General features: G+C 48.3%; 4 annotated features.

The window, feature by feature from the left end:
* Positions 1,088 to 1,966: an enhancer, noted in NCBI's record as "H3K4me1 hESC enhancer chr20:49944615-49945493 (GRCh37/hg19 assembly coordinates)". NCBI's record gives its function as "activates a minimal SCP1, AML or CMV promoter by ChIP-STARR-seq in naive H9 embryonic stem cells {active_cell/tissue: H9 hESC(naive)}" and the evidence as "EXISTENCE:reporter gene assay evidence [ECO:0000049][PMID:30033119]".
* Positions 7,905 to 8,406: an enhancer, noted in NCBI's record as "H3K4me1 hESC enhancer chr20:49938175-49938676 (GRCh37/hg19 assembly coordinates)". NCBI's record gives its function as "activates a minimal SCP1, AML or CMV promoter by ChIP-STARR-seq in naive H9 embryonic stem cells {active_cell/tissue: H9 hESC(naive)}" and the evidence as "EXISTENCE:reporter gene assay evidence [ECO:0000049][PMID:30033119]".
* Positions 17,142 to 18,130: an enhancer, noted in NCBI's record as "OCT4-NANOG-H3K27ac hESC enhancer chr20:49928451-49929439 (GRCh37/hg19 assembly coordinates)". NCBI's record gives its function as "activates a minimal SCP1, AML or CMV promoter by ChIP-STARR-seq in naive and primed H9 embryonic stem cells {active_cell/tissue: H9 hESC(naive and primed)}" and the evidence as "EXISTENCE:reporter gene assay evidence [ECO:0000049][PMID:30033119]".
* Positions 18,131 to 19,120: an enhancer, noted in NCBI's record as "OCT4-NANOG-H3K27ac hESC enhancer chr20:49927461-49928450 (GRCh37/hg19 assembly coordinates)". NCBI's record gives its function as "activates a minimal SCP1, AML or CMV promoter by ChIP-STARR-seq in naive and primed H9 embryonic stem cells {active_cell/tissue: H9 hESC(naive and primed)}" and the evidence as "EXISTENCE:reporter gene assay evidence [ECO:0000049][PMID:30033119]".

The raw sequence follows: 19,220 nt of genomic DNA, 5'->3' as shown, positions 1-19,220 counted from the left end.
ACCTATCATCTATCTACCTATCATCTGTCTATCATCTATTTATCATCTGTCTATTATCTATCTACCATCTGTCTATCATCTGTCTACCCATCTGTCATTTATTTATCTATCTATCTATCCATCCATCATCTACCTATCATTTATCTATCTACTTATCATCTGTCTATCATCTATCTATTCATCTGTCTATATATCCATCCACCCACCGACCCACCCATCCAGCCATCCAGCTATCCATATTGGGTGACACAAGTCATCCCTATTCAGTATGGTTGTGAGTACCAGGAGGCAGGGATCCCTGGGGCTCTCTTGGAAGCTCACTCCCACAGCCAACCAGAATATAAGTTTCATGGGAATAGGGCTATGTCTGTTTTGTTCACTGCTATATCCTCAGCTTCTAGAACAATGCTGAGTACCTAATAGATTCTTAATCTAGTTTGTTGAATGAATGAACCAGACAAGGTGAAACTTAACCAGTGAAAGCAGCACATGCAGGTCTCTCTGAAGACAGACAGAGCACAACCTCTTCAACAGTGGTTCTATGAAGAACTCCAAGCATTTGCTACAACATCAGGGGAAATGAAAGAAGAGGGAGCAGCTTCTGTACACAAAGCCACTTCTTCATAGTAGTCCCAGAATGTTCTGGTATGCGGGAGAGATGTGGCAGTTTGTGTTGGAAAGGACAATGGATTTGAAGGTGGGCACAGAGCACGCGGCTGCAGTGCACCCACGTGGACACCCTTCTGCGGGCTCACCTGGTTGGTGTGGGCATGAGAAGATCAGGCACCTAACCCTGGCTTGGCACTTAAATCAATAAAGTTTAGTTTGTTATACTTAAGCAGGCGTGATCACACCCACTCTGCCTAGTACCCAGGAATATAGTAAATTCATTAATTCACATCACTCATTTACTCATAACTCTTGACTTCATGGAGTTCACAAGTTAGTGAAAGACTCAAATGGATTGATACATTCTGAAAATAGTGCCACACAATGTGTTGTGCTGTTGTTATGTGCCTTGATGAATTGCTGTTTCGTTTATTGAGCACCTACTGTGTGCGGCCACTGTGCTAAATCTTATATGTATCAGCTGTATGCAGTAGGTGCTCTTAATCCTCTTTTTACAAGTGAAGCTATGCAATCTCAGAGAGGTTAAGCAACTTGTCCTAGGCCACCCAGCTAGTAATTTGGATCTAGGTTTTGTGACCTCGGAGCCTTTCCTACTATGTGGTAACTTTTTGCTTAGGGACGTTTTAAATATCTACATTTAAACTGACAGTGGGAGTAATATTTCTAATAAAAGCCCTAGTCAATTCACTTACTGCCATTTGCCTTTTAATGTAATAATTGTGGTGGATTTGGATCATGTCAACTCAGCTAAGTTGGAATTCTCAGAATTCCCTTCCCTGCATTGTTTCTGGTTAGCATAGACCAAAAGACATTTTGAGTGAGACCCGGGAGGGGGAAGCGAAGTGGCAGGTAGACTGCTGCCATGCTTGGAAGGTGGGCATGGAGCACGCGGCTGCAGTGCACCCACGTGGACACCCTTCTGTGGGCTCGCCTGGTTGGTGTGGGCAGCAGCTAAGCCTGCAGCTTCCAGTCCCTGTGGATCCTCCTTAGTGTCTCTGAATCCTGGCAGAGGCCTGTTTAGTTCCGGGATGAAGAATGCCACCTTTTCCTGCAGATCACCTGAGTGAGTAATCACAGATGGCTGCTTGGAGGTGGCAAGAGATGGACGGGGGGTTTCCAGTCTGTCATCCCGGGTTCCAGCTTGTCCTGGTGGCTCCAGTTTGTCGTCACTCCCTCCCACTTCCCATCCATCCTTCCTTCTTGGTGGCTGCCCTGCTGACTTGAGGATCCAGCGTCAAATTCAAAGAAGCAGCCCCATGTAGACTGGTGAACCAGCTCCCCAAGTTGCATAAGGTAAATCTCTACGATAAATCCCTCCAGTTGATTCTGCTGTGGTCAAACCCTGATACAACAATTTAAGCCTGAATCTCATTTCGTGTACTTTAATATATAATAACTCAAGCCTGTCTTCATTCCTCCATTGTTTTCAAATATTTAAAGCAAATACCTATGAGTATGTGAGGGATACCTATGTCTGCCACACATCATGGTTAAAACTCTGTTTGAAGATTTTAAAAAGCACCTTGGCAATGCCTGGCAGGTCTGTCTGGAAAGGAGCAGAGAGGCCAGGGTGGGAGGGAATCCCCCTGCCTTCGACCCAGACGCCTTGGTTCTCCCAAATCACTTGATAGATTTTCCCCAGACCTGTCCCTGAGGCCCTGGACTTGGCTGTGGCTTTGAGGGCGGGAACGCCTCCGAGCTGGCCGCTGGGGAACGCGGACTGTCTAGTGGAAAATCCTGATGCCAACTAGAGCTCTGTGTCGTAGGCACACGGCTAGACTGGAGGGACGCGCCCACACGATAGGAAGTGATGTGTCTTGCTGGACAATGCCAGCAGATACTATTTGATATTTATAAACTTTTCCAGACTCTCAGAGCAGAAGATGAGCAGCTTCATTTTTACAACCACAAATAGTACATTCCTAAGCTTGTACGTGTGTGTATACATATATGCATTAGAATGACTGAGTGTAACTCACAAAAGAAGAAAAAACAATGAAGCAAATCCATGACTGAGTTTCCATTGGCCTAAAGGAGAATACAATAATTCATAAATACCTCTCCATTTATACAAAGGAAGAAATGCGGTCAGGCACGGTGGCTCAGGCCCCTAATCTCAGCACTTTGGGAGTGCCGAGGTGGGAGGATCACTTGAGCCTGGGAGTTCATGACCAGCCTGGGCAACACAGCAAGACCCTATCTCTACAAAACTTTTAAAAATCAGCCAGGCATGGTGGTGTGCGCCTGTAGTCTCACCTATTTGGGAGGCTGAGGTGGGAGGATCGCTGGAGCCTGGGAGGTCAAGGTTGCAGTGAGCCATGATCAAGCCTCTGCACACCAGCCTGGGTGACAGAGTGAGATCTTGTCTCAAAATAAAATAATAAAATAAAATAAAATAAAGAAACAGCAATGAACAAATGGAGGTCTGTGAACTTCCATTTATCCAAAGGAAGAAAGAACATTTCACAGAACCAGAAACATTCACAAAATCTTCTCTTTTACAAAGGTGGAAAGACTAGCCTCAACTGTTTACCCCAGGAGGTCAGAAAACTATGACCCACAACTGGCTGTTTTGGTAAATAAAGCTGTATTGGAACACAACCATGGTCACTCTCTTACTTATTGTCTATACTGCTTTCATGCTACAACAGCCAAGTTCATTAGCTGAGACAGGGATGTATGGCCCACAAAGCCTCACATATTTATTATGCAGCCCTTTAGTAAAAGTTTATGGACTTCTGGTTTATTCCATAACCTTTGGGACCACTGAAGCATCCTCCCTATTGCTTTCACATTTTCTTGAATAAATTGAGCCCCTTACACCTTCAGCAGCAGGAAGTCTAATACTTCCTCTTGAGCACCTCACTTTCTCACCACTCCCATTATCCAAGAATCCTGGGATTTACATGGTCCAAAGAGGATCAGTCCTATTTCCAAACAACAGAAACCTACACTAAAGCCATCAGGTCTCATGGCCACCAGGGGTCACTGTTAAGCACAGGCTGTCCTCTGAGCTCAAGATCCACTGCTCCCCAACACAACGCTGGGACTGCTGGGGCCTGACAAGATTCCAGCTCAGCCAGTAGCCCTGTTAGAAGCAGTCCCCTGTGAACCTCATTAAGGCGCTCAAGCTTTGGCCAGGTGCTCCCACCCTCTTGATGATTTCTTGTTCTGGATCCGTCCCCAGCCACGTGGGTTTCCTGTCTTTCTCCAGTAGATGTTAGGTGAGAGCCCCAGAGTCCACTCTGATGGCTTTTCCCAACTTCAGGTCATGGGGAGCAATGATGGATATCTCAGTTCCTTCCTTCCCTAGAGAACCTGGCTCCACATGCAAACGGATGCAGCTCCCCCAACCCCATCCCCAGCAGCTAGGTCTTTCTGGTGAGAGACGTGCTTTGGTCAGGTTACAGGAGTTCTTTTACAACCACCCTCAAGAAATGTCCCCTGTTCGCATTAACTAAGAAAGACCATTTCATTCCTAAACAAAGAAGATTTATTGCAAGGAGAGGCGTGGACAGGTGCAGATACCTAAAGAAGATAACCTGGATCCAATGTCGCTGGGTCTTTGTTCACACCTCATAGCTTCTTCCCTGGTGGTTCAGGCAGCTTCTGAGATGGTCTCTGTGATCTTCACTTTCTTATATTCATGCCCTCAGGTAATCCCTTCTCCTTGGGTAATTTCCATCAAACCAACAGCATACCTCAATATTGGGGGAATGCCACATCTGTGATTAGATTACAGAATAGTTGGGCTTCCATCTTGCTAGCAGACCCTCTCCCTCGCCAGCTGTGAGGAAGCAGCCTGCCAGGTTGGAAGGCTCACATGGTCAATAGTCAGCTCATGCTGAAATCTGCCCTGTGGCGAGCGGGGAGCCGGTGTGGCAATGAACTGACGGAGTTCTCCATCCAACAGCCAGTGAGGAGCTGAGGCCCTGAATCGAAGAGCCCACACATGACAGAATCCTCCCAACAACCACATGTGTGAACTTGGAAATGGAGCCGACACCAGTTGAGCCTTCAGATGAGATCCTAGCCCTGGTTAAGACCTTGATCGCAGCCTTGGAAGAGACACTGAAGGAGAGGACCCAGCTAAGCTGTGCCTGGATTCCTGCCCCACAGATACTGTGAGATAGTTTTAACTGTTTGTTATTCTAAGCTATGAGGTTTGTGGATGATTTGTTATGCCACAGTAACTAATATACCTGTCCACAGACCATTTCAGCACTAAACACACGGGAAACTGTCAGGCTTTACAAATGTATTGACCTTTAAAATGCCTACATTTTGCAGCAGAGAGTAGTAGATAAATAGAAGTACTTCTCAGAAAGATAAAATGTCTAACCTAAACAGGTGAACATTTGGGATTACCTGACAAAGGTCAAGGAGAGTAACAAATAGCTGACCCTTCCTCCCAGGTCCAGAGACTGGCCGGCTTTTGATGTGAGGGGTGGAGCATGCATCCAGCTCTCTGAGGCTATGGAGGGTGCCTGTCCACCTCTCCCCACCTACTCCACCTACTCCCACTTCCTGGACCACTCTCTGCAAATCAGTGAGCCCCATCTTCTATTCTGCCTGGCCTGGATTCACAACCTACCGAGCTGCTCTGAAAGGGAAATCTGGGGAATGACATTTATCAATGTAATTGACCAAGAGGAGCTGGCATTTCCACGACTACCTCTGCTGCTCAGAAAGGGCATCTAGGAGTCAGCTGGAAGCTCCTTCTCATATCATAGCTCACTTAATCCTCACAGACTCTTGTTTTGATGGAAGCACTAATATCCCCAATTTCCAGATGGGGAAATGGAGGCAATTAGAGAGTAAGAACCCTGACCCAGGTCATAAGCTAGTGAAGGGACAATCTGACCCAGGCAATGGCCCCAGAGTCTATGCTTTTAACAGGGGCCCCATATCACTATTCACCCACCTAGGATTCCCCATCTCCCCTCTATGTTGAATGGCCCCTCGGCTCTCCTAGAGGACCATTGCTCCCCAGTTCTCAGCTCAAATAGTGATGGTGGGAAGGATTGTCCCATTGTTTTTCTGTGTGTGCACACTCACACACACACACTCACACACCCTCTTATAGTCACGTGTGCACTTGCACACACTCACCTGCACAAGCGCTCTGAAGCTCCAGGTCAGAGCCTGTAACACGGGCCTGACGCATCACCACGCTCCACAGCTCTGCCTGCGCCAAGGGTTCCCTGCCCGCACCCAAGCCAAGCTGGGCCAAATCAACCCTAGGAGGTTTGAGAAAAGGGATGCTCTTTTTCCAGGGCCTCACTGAGCTGTAGGATGCAAGCCTGAAACTACTGGTGATGAAAAGAAAAGCAGAAAGAGAAAGCGCGATCCCTGAACACGTTCTTTAAGCCCCAAGATTCAGCCAGGCACAAAGGTTCATCAAGGTCTGTTTAGGTTCATGAGTCAGGATGGCCCCTGAATCGCTGGAGTCAGTCTGAGGTTGGTTTCTGTCACTTGAGACCAAGAAAAACTGAGCATTTCAGCAGAGAAAGGGGTATCTGCAGGGCTGCTAAGAGATTGCTGCTCCCAAGGCTTTAGACCTGCCCAAGGCAGCTCGCACCTGGGCACGTCATGCCTGAGTTCTCTGCTGCGCTGCCAACCGGCATCCACCTTCCAACCTCTCCTTCCGCCAGACACAAGGCCCAAGTCCATGGGGTCCCTATTCCTCTATCCTAAAGTCACACCACACACACATTGACTCTGAGCCTTGCCTTCCTAACACCCAACTGGATTTGTCTTTCTTGTTTTCAACGAAAGCTAACAAGGTTTCCCAGGAGCTAAATCGAGAAGGTATAAGGGAGAAAGACTAGATTAAAGAAAAACTCCAGCTGACTTCCAACCCACAACGTAAGGACCCAGGCAGTGATAGAATGTGAAAGCTGGGAAGAACTGAATTTGAGTTCCTCATTTTACACATGAAGCAACCCGGGGCCAGAGAGGTGAAGTGACTTGCCCCAGGTGTACACCAAGTTACCTATGCGTGGGTACCTCACACAACAAAAGTTTTTAAAAGCTAAAATGTATTGCAGGCATAGTGTGTGCCAGTCACGGGCTCAATGTTTTCGCGGTATTATCTAATTAGATCCACCCCCAGTCTTCTGTAAGTGGTTACCATTATTAGCTAATTTTCAGATGTTAAAACAGACTCAGAGAGGATGTGTGACTTCCCCAGGCTCACACAGCCAGTAAGGAAGGAGCAAGGCGGGCCGTCAACCCAGGCAGCTAGATTCTAGGGCTCTCCCTCTTCACACTTCTCCCCTGCTTTGGACAAGTTTCACAAAATGTTACCTCCCTTGGAAGGCAACACAATTGATTCAGGCTCTTCAAGAAGTCTTCCCTGAATGAATTCTCCAACCCAAAGTGAGCAGGCCTTTGTCTGCACCCAGCCTTCTGCTCTAATCTGGATCCCACCATCCGGCCCAGAGTGAATGACGACGTTGATTTCTCCCGTAATTGTGTGTTGTGTGTTCAACACTCATCCACACATTTGCCCTCTCTTAACTGAGCATCTGCAGTGCCAGGCCCTGTTCTAGGCATGAGGATACAATACTGAATGAGGCAGACAAAAGTCCCTAGCCTCACAGAACTGATGTTTTAGTGTGGGAGACAAGTAATAGGTAAATAACCAAACATACAGCATCAGGCCAGGTAGTTACAAATGCTATGGGGGGAGAAACAGGGTAGGAAGGATAGAATAAAATAATGGGGATAGTATTAATATTTTGGACAGAGTGATCCTGGAGGGCTTCCCTGAGGAGGTGACAGATGGGCAGAGACTTGAGAAGAGCATTCCCGGCAGAGGACACAGCAGGAGCAAACGTGTAGGGGTTGGATGGTGGAAGAAGCCTGGGATATCTGAGAAGCTCCAGGAGGGATTTGGAGGCTGAAGCGGCAAGGAAGGGAGCGGGGGAAGGTAGGCAGGGCTCACATGACATAAGGCCTCATGGGAATCTGGGTTTTCATGATTGCTTTTTGGGGGATGGCGGGGTCCTAATACCCTCCTCACACCTGGCCAGAGGAAGGATCTGGGCCCCTTAAAGTGGGCGCAGGAGCTGCTTCTCTGCAGTGGGAAGATGCTGCCTTCACTCAGAACAATAGCAGCTTGAGAGAGCTGACTTGGGGAGGGGTCGCAGAGGTGGAAAAAGTGACTCATTGCCAGCCCTGGCAGGGGACCCTGCAATGGCCATATCTGCTTTCTGCGTGAGTGTGGAAACCTGCACTGCACATGGCGCCCCACGGGGCTCAAGTCCAAACTGCAGACAGTGCTGGGGACCCAGGCTGATCCAGTCACGTGCTGTTCATCTTTCCCTTTCCTCCCTGTCCATGTGTGTCTCCGTGTGTGCCCGCGTACGTGCATGTGTGTCCGTGTACATGTATCCGTGTATCTCTGTGTGTGCATGTATGATGCACGTGTGTCCATGTGTGTATCCATGTATCTCTCTGTGTGTGTCTCCATGTGCATGCTATACATGTGTGTCTGTGTGTATGTATGCATGTATGATGTGTGTGTGTGCATGTGTGTGTATCCGTGTGTGTGTGTGTGTGTGTGTGCATGTGTGTGTATCCGTGTGTGTGTGTGTGTGTGTAGCATTAGGCCTTGGCAAATGCAAAACCTAAGTTGTCCCAGGTCGCTGCCATGCAGGTCTTGCTCCTGCCCCTCCTGGGGCCACCACTAGCATTTAGGCTCCCTGTGCTTCTAGCTCTAGAAATGTTTATTTTACATCTGCCAGTTCACAAGGCAATCATTGGCAACCAAATCCCTAGCCCAAGAAATCTGACTTCATCAGGACATCGAACACCAGGACAGGGAGACACTTCTGGGCCCCAGTCTGACCACAGACACCACGGAGGGAGTTCCATGCTGTGGCATTGGGTGACATCACTTCAGCTTGTGTCCCAGATCTGAGGGCAATCCCTGAGGATGTCAGAGCCCGGGTATCTTTTGGAGGTTCCCCTCTGTCTGCCCACCATGGCCTGGGTGCCTCTACTTCTGGCACCCAGTGAAAAGGATGTGGTGGCTGTGGGGAGGGATTAGCTGTTGACAGACTCGCCACAAATGGAGGTTAATTTCCAATTTTATGGATTTCTGAGTGGAGGGAGTTTAAAGTTAAAGATTCATAAATGAGTAAAATATAACTGCTAAAATGATCTAGCAGAACATTCTCTAGCATCCTAGAGTACGTAGTCAAGGAAACGCCAGAAAAATCTCCAGACTCCTCTGAGCAAACAGTATTTCACCTCTGTTCTACATACACACACACAGCACAGCCAGTCCTTTGAAACCTTTATAAAGTAATACAGCTTTCAACATAGGCACAAAAGCTAAGACACAGAGATAAGACCCTGAAACCTTAAAGTCTATTTCCTAAGATACAAAATGAATTAGCAAGGATTTCAATGTCCTAATTGGCCCAAAAGTGTGGTGACAGTGACTCAAGGTGGTTTAGAACTGCAGGCATTATTGTACAGTAGGTCGGCAGCTGGTCATAGAGTCAGAGACCTGAGTTCGAATCCTGCTTCCACTCCATCTTATTTGGGTAATGCTGAGCCAGTTTCTTAATCGGCCTTCATTTTATTTCCATCTGGAAAATGGAGATAACAACAGTCTATCTTTCACCTGGGTTTCTGGGAGGACTGAATGATGTGATATGTGTAAGTGGGTTCAGTAAAGTATAGCAGTTATGAGTATTGTACATCAGCTGATCTCAAAGCGTCTTCAAACTGCTTCTGCCTCATCTAATGCCCGGGTGCTCAGGCACCTTGTCATTCTCCCAACATCCAGGCACCGGAGACTCTGGGCCTGAGAGATGGTGTCTGCAGAGATGGCTTTGACCTCAAGTCTCGGGCCTGAGTTCAAGTTTCTCAGTGGCGGGATCTGCAGCAACAGGCTCCCCTCTCTGAGCCCCTGTTTCCTCATCTGTCATGTAGACAGGGATGATGCTCACCCCAGCCAGTGACTGCTGCGAGTATGAATTAAGGCAAAACCTGAGAAACCCTTTGGTGATGACATGGTTTGGCTCTTTGTCCCCACCCAAATCTCATCTCCAGTTGTAATCTCCATGTGTCAGGGAGGGACCTGGTGGGAGGTGACTGGATCATGGAGGTGGGTTCCCCCATGCTGTTCTCATGATAGTGAAGGATTTCTCACAAGATCTGACGGTTTATATATAAGTAGCAGTTTCCTCTGCACTTGCTTCTCTCTCTTGCTGCCTTGTGAAGAAAGTACTTGCTTCTCCTTTGTCTTCCACCATGATTCTAAGTTTCCTGTGGCCTCTCCAGCCATGCAGAACTGTGAGTCAATTAAACCTCTTTCCTTCATAAGTTACCCAGTCTCGGGTATGTCTTTATAGCAGTGTGAAAATGGACTAATATAAGCAACTACAAAGTATCAGGGCAAAGTGAGGAGATTGTATCTTTTCCCCATTCAAAACCCTAGGTCTTCGTCCCATTGGCTCCTCAAGTTACTTCCTCCCTTGCCTGTGCTTGCCAATATGCTGTTTCTAACTAAAGTGTTACTGACTGCCATGAGCATTTGTCATTCTTGTCTGGCCTACATTCGTTATCTATTTTTCTGGTTACAGTACCCCCATTTCCCACTGAGGCCACCCTCTTTCTCTCTCTCAGATCATGTGGCCCTGTGGTGTGGGCTCCCCCCCGGCTCCCAGGAAGAGCAAGTGACCCAGAGTTGGCCAATCACAGGATCACGTTGCCCTGACCACAGGAGGGGAAGGGACATGAGTATATCAGAGCCAACAAGATCCTTGGGGCTTTCCAGAGCTGTCAGCAGAAAGCCATGCCTTCCGTTCCCCTGGATCTGACCCTGGAAGTGCCAATACATCCAGCCCAGGTCTGCAGAAAGACCCGCCTGAGAGTGGTCTGTGGGGCTGTAGGCAAAGCCAAACCTCAAGCACTGGGGCTTGAGGAAGCGGGTGCAAACCACAGACTCGGACTTTCCACATATGTCAGCCAAAACAAACAAACAAACAACAACAACAACAACAAAAACTCCTCAAGCAACCCTTTTTACAGTCACCAACCTTGAGTTCATTTTCCTGTATCCAAAAGACCCCTAACAAATACAGAGAATAACAGCATCAGGCCTCAACACTCCCAGGTGAGATGACAGCATTTCAGGAGAATTTACTTGCAAACACCACCTTCACTCTAAGGAATGTGTCCCCTATTCCATGTTTCAAACCAGGTCACTTCCTTCTTTGTCCATGGCCCTGACCTGCCACTGGCCACATGCTCTCAGCAGCATCATTCAGCTGTCGTGTGTGCCCTCCCCCACCCGCCTCTGCCGTCATTCCTCCACTCTGCAGCCTGCAGAAAAAAAAAAAGCAATTCAGTCGCTTGAACCTGGGAGTCGGAGGTTGCAGTGAGCCAAGATCGCGCCACTGCACTCCAGCCTGGCGACAGAGCAAGACTCTGTCTCAAAAAAAAAAAAAAAAAGCAGTTCAGATCATACCCCTTTCCTTCTTCCTTATACCTTAGGCAGATGGGAAATTGCAACTCATCCCTCAGCCCCCAGCACCCACCCCTGTCCTGAGCTTCAGTCACTGGGGCCTGCCTGCTCATCCTTAAATGCACTGAGTTTGTTCCTGCCCCAGGGCCTTTGTTTGTGCGGTTTTCTCTGCCTGGAACGTTCTCTCCTCCCATGCTCTTTGCCTGGCTGATGCCAAGTCATTTTTGAAGGCGCAGCTGAAGTGCCACTCCCTCATAGAGGCTGTGCTTGTGACCGTGGCTGTGTAACACATTACCCCAAATACCAGCAGCGTGAAACAAGGGTTTCTTCTGCTTAGCGACCCAGTGGGCCGGGACTTTGGGCAGGATTCAGTGGGCATAGCTTGTCTCTGCTCCGGGATGTCGCGGGCCTCAGCTGAAGGACGTGAGGCCTGGGCTGGAGCTGACTGAAGGTGCGTGCATTCAGAGGGGCCTGGCTGTTGATGCTGGCTCTTGGCTGGGGCCGCTGTTCTCCTCCAGGGGGCGCTGTTGTGGGTTTCCTCACAGCACGGTGGCTGGGATCCAAGGGTGATTGTCCCCAGAGAGGCAACAAAGCAGGCGGAAGCTATGGCACCTGCCTTGGTAGTCACACAGCCTCACTTCTGCCACGTACTAGGCATTAGAAGTGAGTCAATAAGACTGGGCGTTATTCTAGGATAAGGGACACAGAACCCACTTCTCAGCAGGAAGCGCACGTACATCACACGGGAAGAGTGCGTGGGAGGGACGCCACCCCTGAGGCCGTCCTCGGAAATGACATCTACCAGCAAAGCCGCCTTTCATTCCCTGACTAGGACAGACCCCGTTACAGGTGGAGAGAGAGACAGGAAGGGAGAAAGAAAGACAGAGGGGCCTAGCAAGAGAATTAAAAACAAAGCCGCCGTCTGCGAATCTGCTTCCTTCCTAACACTTGACGCGTTGTAATTACATGTTCGTTTAGGTGTGGGGTTATTTGCTATCTGTCCCCAGCTAGGCTGCAAGCTCTGCACACACACCTGGGCAGGCCTGAGTTTCTTCGTTTCTTTTCCCCTCCGTTCCCTTCCCTTCCTTTTGCCAATCTGCATAGTGTCTGGCACATGTGTGACCCGCAGAAGATGCTCAATGACTATTTGTGGAGGAAAGGAAGGAATTTTTCTACTTTATACAAGAAAGAAATTATGTCCTGCCCCCAACACCCATTGGCAGGCCCTGGAGTTGCAGAGATGGCCGCTTTTCTCCGGTGTCCATTCTCTCCTCTCCTCTCCTCTCCTCTCCTGGAAATACAACCCCTGACTCTGAGCCAGGCCCCTGGTGGCTCAGCTAAAGACTGTAACTGCCCAGCTCCCGGGCAAGAGGAGACACTGACCAAGCTCAGGCCGATGCAAGGTGAACAGAAGTGCTGCTTGCCATTTCTGTGTCTTGGGCTAAAAGCGAGGGGTACCCCCTTTCTGATTTCTCCCCATCCCCATGGGCTGGAAGGTGCATGTGACTGAGACATTTTGCCTCAGGTGGACAAGGACATTACTCAAGGGGTGGTAGAGTGTGGAAGGCAGTTTTGGAAACTGTCCTCAGTGATTTCCCCCTCCTTGTATTCACATGGTATGTAACTCCCAGCCCCGGAGTGTGGCTGGACCTAGGGACCTGCTTCTAATGAGTAGAATGTGGCAAATGGAATGGAACGTCACTCACAAGATTATTCAAGAGACTGGCTTCTGTCGTGGTTGCATTCTCTTGCTAGGTCGGTCTCTCTCCCTCTCTCTCTTTCTCTCTGTCGCCTTCTTGGCTTGCATGCTTTGACGAAGTAAGCCACCATGCTGGAAAGGCCCAGGTTGAAAGGAACTAAGGGCTGCCAACAGCCCCCAGTCAATGCCCTACAAGAAACTGCATTCTGCCTGGGAGAGCCTGGAAGCAGAGCTCTCCCCAATCAAGCCTTGAGACAAGATGGCAACCAAGGCCAACACCTCAACTGCAGCCTATGGGAGACCGTGAAGCTGAGGACCCAGCCTCATCACACTGGATTCCCAACCCACAGAAATTGTGAGATGATAAATGTGGCTGCTGCGCTAACCCACCAAGTGCAGTAATTTGTGAAGCAGTGATGGATAACTAACATGCAGAACAAGGAAGAAGGAGGCAGAGCCCTTAAGACCTCACACAGCAGAGCTGCTACACCAGTGGGGGAATGTCCATAAGAGAAAAGAACTTTCCTGCCTTGTCCACACCCTTCTGCTTTGAGGATTCGCCCTTATGGCAGCCAAACCGTGTTCTAACACACACACACCCAGTTAGGGCCAAATCCCTTAGTGCAGCTCATGCAGTCCTCAACAGCATGGCCCATCTTATGCACAGATTTGCTTCCTGCTGTCCCCTCAGCTCCCTCCTTCCTCTGCCATGCCCAATGCTTGTCTGAACTTGTCATTGACTTCCTAGCCCTGTGACCTTTGCCTGCCCACCTCCCTGTCTTGGAAAGTCCCTTCCTTTCTTTTCTACCTAGCAAGCCCCTCCCCATCCTTCCATACCCAGCTGATATAGTCCCTTGCAGACAATGTCCACCTCAGGAGAGTGAGCACTTCCTACTTGTGCCTCACTCTCCATACCCAATCCTGCAATTCTAATGCTTATTACATGTGTTTATCTGCATATCTGTCTCCCTCAGAAGACTGTCAACCTCTGAGAGATCCTTATTTATGTATTTATTTATTGAGATGGAGTCTCGCTCTGTCACCCAGGCTGGGGTGCAGTGGCGTGATCTTGGCTCACTGGAACCTCTGCCTCCCAGGTTCAAACCATTCTCCTGCCTCAGCCTCTGAGTAGCTAGGATTACAGGTGCCTGCCACCATGCCTGGCTAATTTTTTTTTTTTTGTATTTTTAGTAAAGACAGGGTTTTACCATGTTGGCCAGGCTGGTTTTGAACTCCTGACCTCAAGTGATCCACCTGCCTCGGCCTCCCAAAGTGCTAGGATTACAGGTGTGAGCCACCATGCCTGGCCCCTCTGAGGGATCCTTATGCAATCATGAACGGTCTAGAATGAGTGCTTTATTTACATTCTCATTTAGTGCTCACAATTATTAGTGTCCATATTTCACAGATAAGAAGACTGAGGCACAGCAAAGTTAGGTAACTCATCCACATACAGAGCAGAGCTGGCTGCAGAATCCCAGCCTTTCTGATTTTAAACTCTATGCTCTGAACCACTAAAATGCAGCCTTCTCATTTACCTCTTCATCCTCAGTAGGCCTAGGCTCATGGACAAACCTGTCTCACTTGCCTATTTATCCCCTCCCTGGCCATGGCAGACATCACTAATCAATCACAGCATTTTTTCCAATCAGCCAAATGCAGCCTCACAATTTATCTTGGTAAAAGCATCTGGGTAAGCTGCCAACATCAACAGGAGTTGGCATGCCTGATGAAACCTGTAGGCTGTGCTAGTAGTGGGTGCCCATAAATAATGCACTGAATTGAGACTATTGTGACTGATTTGAGAAGGTAAAACATGGCCACCATCTACTGATGTTATTCATTACCCTCTACTGAGACATTGCTATGGTCACTGCTTAATTCCTGTGGGAACAGTAGCCACTCCAGACCCATCACTCTCCATCCTACTGACTTCCATGCTGATAGTCATGTGCGGAGACAGAGCCATCTCCACTCAGGAAAGACCACTCCCAAAGCCCTTCCTACACATGTGTGAAGCATAAATGGCAGCCGGGGTCATGCCAATAGGTCATATACGCCAGTCGCAGAGATGGGAAGGTGTCACCACCCAAGGGGAAGCTTGCACTTGTTGGACATGAGCCCTTTTGGACAAGAAGCTGCAACAGAGTCAACACAGAAATCCTGGGCCAAATGCCCAGAGGGCTGCTGTATTGGAGAGTTATAGGAAGGTGGTTCTAGAACTATGGCCTCGAAGGCAGAGCCCAAGAAAAGCAGGGAACAGAGTCCTAGAACCTGGCTCCAGGCAGATGACATCCCTCCAGCTGGGCCCAAAAGCACCCCTGTCATCTGCTGCAGTGGCAAGTAAGCTGTTGCTGAAGTAAGCCATGGTGTTGATGGGGCTGTTGGCACAGATCTGACTATTCTTTAGGACTTTGAAGCCACTGCAATAGGCAGGATTCTAAAAATGGTGCCAAAAGATGTTCTCCCTTAACCCCAGAAGCTGCATCTGTGAGTCGGATGCAACAGTCCCACGATCGTGCTATGCGGCACAGCTGACCTTAAGACAGGGAGGGAAATTTTCTGGATGACCCTGATCTATCACACAGCCGTGAAAAGCAGAAAACTGTCTCTGGCTAATGGCGGAAGAGGAAGCCAGAGAGATCCAAAGCATGGATGGACTCGGTGCATATTTGCCGGCTGTGCAGCTACGCGAGGCCCCTGGGAGCAGAGTGTGGCCCCCGGCAGCCAACCAGCAAAGACACAGGGACCTCAGTCCTAAAACCACCAAGAACCGGACTCTGCCAACAACCCGTATGAACTTGGAAGTGAATTCTTCCCCTGAGTTTCCAGATGTGAGTGCAGCCCGGCCAATACATTCACATCAGCCTGGTGAGACCCTGCACAGAGAACCCAGCCAAGCCCACCTGGGAATGGGGACAGCCTGTGGGGCTGTACACATGATAATGTTAAATGAACCTGAAGGGTAAGCTATGGCTCCAGCGCGGGCCAAACTCACATTTGCAAAATTAGTAATCAAATGGGTGAGGACGCCAAGGCTGGAGCGTGCCCACATATGCCCCTGTTAGGGTCCTGGATTGCCCTTGAACACCAGCTCCTGAGCTCTTGGTGACCAATTCAGGCTGAAAGAGCCATCTCTTGCCCCCAGGCTCCCACATATGGCAGGCCACTCATAAGAGTGGATTGGGCAGGTGTTCTCTGCAGACAGAGCTCCGGAGAAGCTGCCCTTTAGAAGATACTTCTAATCCCTGATGGGCCGTTTGCATGTCCTGGATGGGATGTCAGCTCCTCCAAGAGGTTTCTCTCCCCTAGGTCCCCTCTAAAGGGCCTCCACCTTGGCGCTATTGACATTTTGGACCAGATAATTTTTTGCTAGAGGGCCTGTCCGGTGCATTGTAGATTGTTCAGCTGCATCCCTGGGCTCTACCCACTAGATGCCAGTAGCATCTCCTGAATTCTAACCATCAAACATATCTCCAGAGTTTGCCAAATGACTGCTGGGGGAAAAAAATTACCCCTGGTTGAGAACCAGTACTCCAGCACTTGCTTGTAGGCCCTGTCACTTTTCCTCCTGACAAGCTCAGAGAACGAACCTCCACCCTCATGCTGATGAATCATCGTATTTCAATCAATGCATCGCATCCATCAAAACCAGCAGGATGCTGTTTGCATACGTGTGTGTATGTGTGAGTGTGTGTTCCACTATTCCAGCCCATGTCAATTCCATCAGCAGGAAGGAAGTGCTGGGGGAAGGAACATGCTTCCTGGTCAGGCCATCCTGCAAATCCCTGATGCTGCTGACTTAGCAGAAGCTTCCCACACACTGGCTTCTCCAACACCATCACATACGGTTGTTCTCAGGCCTCTGCTCCTTGCAAAGGGCTAGAGCTCCCTTTCCTGGAGGGCCTGTGAACAGCCATCATTGAGCCATGAGGCTGGCATTATCCTCCCCATTAGAAAGATGAAGAAACTGAGGCTCGGAAAGGTAACGTGAAGAGCTTAAGACAGCAGATCTATCTTATTCTGAAGCCTGTTTTTACTATAGATTTCCCATCATAAAGCAACTGTCTAGATATGCGGCCAGGTCACTGTGAACAATAAACCTTTAGTGGTCTCACTTTGCAGCCAGGCCACTGCCGAGCATTTGTAGATTCATTGGATTTCATTATTGAGTATTTTAAGCCTACAATAAAGAGCAGAGGATAATGCAGGGTGAGTATCCTTTATCCAACATGATTGGGACCAGAAGTGTTTCAGATTTCAGAGTTTTTCAGATTTGGGGATACTTGTATTACACTGAGCAGCTGAGCATCCCAAATCTGAACACTTGAAATGTTCACTGTAGCACTTCCTTCGAGTACAGCATCAACACTCACACCATTTTGAGTTTTGGAGCATTTTGCGTTTCAGATTTCAGATTCGGGATGCTCAACCTGTGTACCAGAAAGGCTGACATCTACTACCCAGCTTGGTTCAAATTTGTTTTATGACTGAAGTTATTTAATACATGTCATAGAGACAGGAGACAGCCAAGGGTCCCCCCACAAAACTCCGCCTTCAAGCCTAAAATGGCCTGAAGGCTGAAAAACCCGGACTGCAGGTCCTGGAGAATCTCTGACCTGCCTGAGCACTGGGAGGATGGGGTGGAGTCTCAAGAAGTTTGTGCCGTTTGCAAGGGAAAGGAACCTGGCCTCTCCTGTTCCTGGATAGTAAACTGGGATTCAAACTATGAGGTGGGAAGCCTTCTAGCAGGACTCTCTCCTGCTTTACTGAGATTTATTTTTCCTTTTCGCCTAATAAATTCCATTTCCCCTCACCCTTCAAAGTGTCTGCAGGCCTAATCTTTCCTGGTCATGTGACAAGAACCCTTTTTTTTTTTTCCCCCTACAACACATGTATTAGGGCATTCTTGCATTGCTCTACAGAAATACCTGAGACTAGGTAATTTATAAGAAGAGAGAGAGGGAGAGGAGGTGCCACACACTTTTAAATGACCAGATCACGCATGTAAAGCAAAAATAAAATTCTAAGCCGCACAACCTGCTGATAAACCCTCCCCTTGGCCAAGAGCATTCTAAAATTAACTGGAAAGACGAGTTCGGGTTATCATGGGAAGTGAAAGTCAGACATGCCTCCTTATACCCTCCTCCCCCTCCCTTTGGAATTCAAGCACAGTTGACCAACATTAACATTAAAACAGAGATCTTAAGACAGATAGAACAGACTTGAAGTCTGATAAACATTTACAATCTATTCTCTGTGAAGCCTGCTTTGGGAGGCTTCATCTGCATGATAAAACCTGGGTCTCTACAACCTATTATCTTAACCATTCCGTCTGTGATTCCAGGTCTTTAAATAATAACTCTTTAAGCCAATTGCCAGTCAGAAAGTCTTCGACTCCGCCTATGACCTGGAACCCCGCCTCCTCCAGTTATCCAATTGTCCCGCCTTGCCAGACGAAACCAACATGTATCTTACATGCATTGATTGACATGTCTCCCAAAAATGTATAAAATCATTTTGTATCCTGACTACCTCGGGCACATATTCTCAGGATTTCCTGGGGCTGTGTCATAGGGCCACTGGTCCTTCATACTTGGCTCAGGATAAACTCTTCGGATATTTCGCAGAGTTTGACACTCTTCATTGACACTCACTATTGCAAAGACAGCACCAAGCTATTAGGAATCCACCTCCATGACCCAAATACTTCCCACCAGGCCCCACCTCCAGCATTAGGGATTACAATTTGACATGAGATTGGAGCAGGGACAAATATCCAAATTATATCAATAGATTTGTATTGAAAAGTCAGGCCACATGCAGTGGCTCATGCCTGTAACCCCAAAACTTTGGGAGACTGAGGCAAGATGATTGCTTGAGGCCAGAAGTTCAACACCAGCCTGGGCAACATAGTGAAAGCCTGTATCTACAGACAGTTTTTTTTTTTTAATAGCCAGGCATGGTGATGTGGGCCTGTAGTTCCAGCTACTCAGGAGGCTGAGGAGGGAGGATCACCTGAGCCCAGGAGTTGGAGGCTGCTGTGAGCTATGAGCATACCACTGCACTCCAGCCTGGGTGACAGAGCAAGAATCTGTCTCAAAAAAAGAAAAAAGAAAAATTACACATGTGCAGAGAACTATACGTATCATAAATGATTGGCTCAATGAATTTTCCCAAATTGGAACCAGCCTCCAGATTAAGAAATCATCTGTTACCCTAGGGAGCCCCTCATGTGCCCATGGTTGATTTTTTTAGGAAACAAAGCATGGCAGATAAAATTGGTCCCTGTGAATAACCTGCCCACTCCATTCTTCTCTCTCTCATCCCAGAGGTTTCATAATCCTAAATACAATGCTTGTTATTCCCATATTTGCCTTTACATTTATAGAACATATGCACATA

The sequence above is a fragment of the Homo sapiens genome, chromosome 20, assembly GCF_000001405.40.
Source record: "Homo sapiens chromosome 20, GRCh38.p14 Primary Assembly".
NCBI classification, from domain to species: Eukaryota; Metazoa; Chordata; class Mammalia; order Primates; family Hominidae; genus Homo; species Homo sapiens.
This window is presented reverse-complemented; position numbering and strand designations above follow the sequence as displayed.